Consider the following 5,398-nt stretch of genomic DNA (forward strand, 5'->3'; position numbering starts at 1 on the left):
TTCTTGGTCTCACTGACTTCAAGAATGAAGCCGCAGACCCTCGCGGTGAGTGTTACATCTCTTAAGGTGGCACGTCTGGAGTCTGCCCCTTTTGATGTTCAGATGTATTAGGAGTTTCTTCTTTCTGGTGGGTTTGTGGTCTCGCTGGCTCAGGAGTGAAGCTGCAGACCTTCGCGGTGAGTGTTACAGCTCTTAAGGCAGCGCGTCTGGAGTTGTTCATTCCTCCTGGTGGGCTCGTGGTCTCGCTGGGCTCAGGAGTGAAACTGCAGATTTTCACGGTGAGTGTTACCGCTCATAAAAGCAGCATGGACCCAAAGAGTGAGCAGTAGCAAGATTTATTGCAAAGAGCAAAAGAACAAAGCTTCCACAGTGTAGAAGGGGACGCCAGGGGGTTACCAATGCTGGCTCGGGCAGCCTGCTTTTATTCTCTTATCTGGCCCCACCCACATCCTGCTGATTGGTAGACCCGAGTGGCCTGTTTTGTCAGGGCGCTGATTGGTGCATTTACAATCCCTGAGCTAGATACAAAGGTTCTCCACGTCCCCATCAGATTAGTTAGATACACAGTTTTGACACACAGATCCTCTAAGGCCCCACCAGAGCAGCTAGATACAGAGTGTCGATTGGTGCACTCACAAACCCTGAGCTAGACACAGGGTGCTGATTGGTGTGTTTACAAACCTTGAGCTAGATACAGAGTGCCGATTGGTGTATTTACAATCCCTGAGCTAGACATAAAGACTCTCCACGTCCCCACCAGACTCAGGAGCCCAGCTGGCTTCACCTAGTGGATCCCGCACTGGGGCTGCAGGTGGAGCTGCCCGCCAGTCCCGTGCCGTGTGCTCACACTCCTCAGACCTTGGGTGGTCCATGGGATTGGGGCGCCATGGAGCAGGGGGAGGTGCTCGTCGGGGAGGCTTGGGCCGCACAGGAACCCATGGAGTGGGTGGGAGGCCTCAGGCATGGCGGGCTGCAGGTCCCGAGCCCTGCGCCGCAGGAAGGCAGCTAAGGCTCGGTGAGAAATCGAGCACAGGGCCAGTGGGCTGGCACTGCTGGGGGACCCAGTACACCCTCCGCAGCTGCTGGCCCGGGGGGCTAAGTCCCTCATTTCCCGGGGCCAGCAGGGCTGGCCGACTGCTCCGAGTGCGGGCCCGCCAAGCCCACGCCCACCCGGAACTCCAGCTGGCCCGCAAGCGCGCACGCAGCCCCGATTCCCGCTCGCGCCTCTCCCTCCACACCTCCCTGCAAGCTGAGGGAGTGGGCTCCAGCCTTGGCCAGCCCAGAAAGGGGCTCCCACAGTGCAGTGGGGGGGCTGAAGGGCTCCTCAAATGCCGCCAAAGTGGGAGCCCTGCCGAGAGCAAGGGAGGGCTCTGAGGACTGCCAGCATGCTGTCACCTCTCAATTTCTTAATATTTTCTTTTTTTTTTTTTTCGATGGAGTCTCGCTCTGTTGCCCAGGCTGGAGTGCCGTGGTGCTATCTCGCCTCACTGCAAGCTCCGCCTCCTGGGTTCACGCCATTCTCCTGCCTCAGCCTCCCCAGTAGCTGGGACTACAGGCGCCCACCACCGCGCCTGGATAATTTATCTTTTGTATTTTTAGTAGAGACAGGGTTTCACCGTGTTAGTTGGTCTCGATTTCCTGACCTCGTGATCCGCCCACCTCGGCCTCCCAAAGTGCTGGGATTACAGGCCTGAGCCACCGCGCCAGGCAATTTCTTAATATTTTCTTAGCTAGAACTTTGCCTTTTTGTCTGAGCCTATAGCACTCAGGGTTTTGGGTAGTAGGGCTGGTACCTCATGTTTCTTAGATCTGTTAATGAGTGGGACCAGTGCCTGCGCTCAGGTGGTCAGGCCAACATCAGATGGGTCCCTGGCAGAATATTTTTTCCTAACATATTCCTCTACTGGTTTCCAGGGGTCAGTAGATGTCAATATGGGTTGTGGTGGTATAATTTCTTTAAATTTTTCGTGAAGGCCTCGAAACAAATTAAATATAATCTTTAAAATTTTGTTTTATCATATACAGGGTGTTTATGCTAAATCTTCATTCAGAAATCTAATGATTGTTGAGAGACCAGATTCCTGAAACAGGCAATCCAGACTCCAATATGTAGTGCTAAGGCTCTGATTCAGGGACCACTAGAAGAGAGAGGGTCCAGCTAGTCTCACGTTAGCAAACACTTAATGTCACTCACACTCCCCGTTCACTCTTCCTCCTCCAGGCCAGGGCCTCTCTCCCCTGAGCCCACATGGGGCCTGTGGTAAGCAGTTTCTGAAATGGCCCCAGTGTTCCTCTCTCTTGGTATTCATGGCTGGGACGTAATAAGAAACATCTGTTTTTTTCTCTGCTCCTGGTTTTGGGGCCAAAGCTTCAAAACACTGATGTTTCCTGAGCAATTGTGGTGAGAGGGGCTTTATTTATTTTAATCATAAAACGACTTCCAGCATTCCTGAGTTGATGCTCATGAGGTGGCTCTTGGAGGAGAGGGTCCGGCCGCCAGTGATCAGAGCAATGGAACTTTCAACACTAGCACATCCCTCAGCTCAGAGCAGGGAGATGACTGAGGATTAATCACCATAGATTAATGATTGACGCCTTCGTGCTATGGAATGAACCTGCCATAAACACCATAAACCACAAGGTTCAGAGGAAGGAATAATCAGTCGCTCACTGGGGTTGGACAGATGAGAGTAACACAGAAAAATTAAGGGCAACATCACACTTTCTATATCAAAAGTAATGTCCATGGACTTTACATCACTATATGCTACAAATCTAATGATTTAATAAAATCTCCTTAAGAAATTAGAGAAGTTCATTTTATTTTATGTTGGGCAATGGACTTTCTAAGTTTATGACCAAGAAAAAAATAAGTGTACCTATAGATTTAGCTACTTAAAATTTAAAATTTCAGTACGTTAAAATCTAAGACAAAAAGAATAGGCAAATTTAAAAAACCAGAAATCTGTTATTAGTATTTGGGAAGCATGAAGCCTGTCTTTCTAGACAAAACAAATCCTAAAAAATGAATTTGAACAAAGAAATTTAAAGTACTGACCAATATATGAAACATATATCAGAGAAATGTCATCAAAGTCAACTAATTCTTTCCTAGTTAGGAAAAATGAAATCCAAAGAACAGTGATGTCAGATCTAAAGTGATGCACTGTTGGTAGGAATCACAGCTGTGTGTGTGTGTGTGTGTGTGTGTGTGCGCGCGCGCACCTGTACGGGTTAATGCCGATATTCTACTTCTTCTAGAAAATTGCCTAATGAATGTGATTAGAAATGTGGCCAAAGATGTATTCTCAAATATTCACAACTTCTTTGCCCTTCGCATACTGGTGATAGAGGTTTTGGGGAGAGGGGCTGGTATTTGGGTGGAGCATGACACTGGACTCTCGCCTTTGCCCATCTTGAGAACACAGGCCATCCTCTTAATCTTTGGAGGGGGACTCACAGGATGTTTATTAACTTTATGTTTTGTGGGGGGCTTTGGGCAGGGTCCGAATGTTAGGAAAAGGGGCACAGAGCTGAAGAATGAGTCGCCTGTAATGAAGTATCACACACAGTGAGCCCTGCCTAGTGCTGGCTTGTGGGAAAAAGGAAGAATAGAGCAGGAGGAAAGAAAGGTCAAGTCTAAGAAGAGGAAAGATGAGACTGGAGGATTGTGGAGGGTTCAAACCATAGCTCACAGCCCAGGGTTTCAAGTGAGGCCGAGGAGTTCATGGGGAGGGCAAGTGAGAAGCAGGGGGGACCCGGAGCAGTACTCCCTTCCCTCTGGGGAAGGGGAACAGCATGGGAGCACGCCTGGGCCTCCCAGGAGCTATAGGCAAGAGGGAGGGGTTCCTCCAGGGCAAGGAAAACAGGAAATGGGTCTCCCAGATGCCTGCAGGGCTGAGCAACCTGGTCCCACTCATGAGGATGCAGGGAAGTTCAGGGGAGAAAGCGAAGATCGGGCCAGGGCTGGAGGAAGCCACAGGAGAGTGACCACAGGACTTTCCTAACAACCAGGGCCAGCTCACCTCTCAGGAGGACCCACTGCTCCTTCCTTGACGGCTCTGTCAGAGCCCAACTGCAGCCCCAGGTGCAGCCAGAGGACCCCCCGGGAGGCTGTGGGTGAGCCAGCCCAGTGCTAGTGTCCCTGTCTCCAAAGGGAGGGGAAGAAGGAGGTGCTGGATTCAAGTCCCCAAGACTCTGTCACTTTAAGTTCCAGGGAGTCAGAGGCAGGAAACAACCCCACACCGACTTCAGCAAGCCTGAAGGAAGAGAAGGCAGGAAGGTGTGAGTCACAGCAAGAACACAGCCTGTGTTACTCAGAGCTGTTTCAGGGAAGAATGGGAGGACAGGGGCAAAAAGAAAAACAAAACCTCTACACTTCCTTTATGTAAGTTTCCATAGTTAATTTGGTCATGAATTCACACATATCTCAGGATTTTACCCTTAATTGCCTTCTTTTTATGTTTGATGTTACCAACATACTCTTCAGATATGATCATCTACTGCTTTCTCTAGTAGGAGAACAGACAAGCAAGGGAAGGTCTGCTTTTGTGAAGCAGTTCCTTCCCTCCTTGCACACAGCAGAGGCTATCTGGCCTGTTCTTTTCTCCTGTCTTCAAATTAGCGGATTCTTTCTTCTGCCTGATCAAATCTGCTGTGGAATTTCTCTACTGGATTTTTCACTTCAGCTATTATATTTTTTTCAGTCCCAGGATTTCTACTGGGAACCTTCGAATATTTCCTATATCTTTGTGGATATTCTCTATATGTTGATACAGGTATGTATAGATATCTATAGATGCATCAATGTTTCCCCAGAAGAAAGGTGCAGGTGCTGCTCTGGGTTTCCCTAGAATATTTCCCTGCAGCCCCTGCCCATGGGCTCCTCAGCCTCACCCTTGAAGCCACGGGCTGCGAGCTATTGTTTTAATCCTCCGCAATCCTCTAGAACACACACACACACACACACACACACACACACACACACACTTCCTTTAGATATTTGAGCATGCTTAAAACTGTTGATTTAGGCGAGGCGTTGGCTCATGCCCATAAACCTATCACTTTGAGAGGTGGAGTTGGGCAGATCACTTGAGGTCAGGAGTTTGAGACCAGCCTGGCCAACATGGTGAAACCGTGTCTCTACTAAAAATATAAAAATTAGCCAGGAAATTGTGGCACACTCTTGTTATCCCAGCTACTCTGGAGGCTGAGGCACTAGAATTGCTTGAGCCCCGAAGGTGGAGGTTGCATTGAGTCGAGATGATGCCACTTCATTTTAGCCTGAATGACAGAGCAGAGCGAGACTCTGTCAGAAAAACAAACAAACCCCAACACAACTGTTGATTTAAAGCCAAATAAGACCAATATCTCAACTTCCCCAGGTATCTGTCAATCT

The 5,398-nt window shown here is 49.0% G+C and overlaps 2 annotated features.

Annotated features, from left to right (window-relative positions):
* Window positions 649-1,150: an enhancer, noted in NCBI's record as "H3K4me1 hESC enhancer chr8:23031113-23031614 (GRCh37/hg19 assembly coordinates)". NCBI's record gives its function as "activates a minimal SCP1, AML or CMV promoter by ChIP-STARR-seq in naive H9 embryonic stem cells {active_cell/tissue: H9 hESC(naive)}" and the evidence as "EXISTENCE:reporter gene assay evidence [ECO:0000049][PMID:30033119]".
* Window positions 3,492-4,048: an enhancer, noted in NCBI's record as "H3K27ac-H3K4me1 hESC enhancer chr8:23033956-23034512 (GRCh37/hg19 assembly coordinates)". NCBI's record gives its function as "activates a minimal SCP1, AML or CMV promoter by ChIP-STARR-seq in primed H9 embryonic stem cells {active_cell/tissue: H9 hESC(primed)}" and the evidence as "EXISTENCE:reporter gene assay evidence [ECO:0000049][PMID:30033119]".

The sequence above is a fragment of the Homo sapiens genome, chromosome 8 (assembly GCF_000001405.40).
Source record: "Homo sapiens chromosome 8, GRCh38.p14 Primary Assembly".
Taxonomy (NCBI): domain Eukaryota; kingdom Metazoa; phylum Chordata; class Mammalia; order Primates; family Hominidae; genus Homo; species Homo sapiens.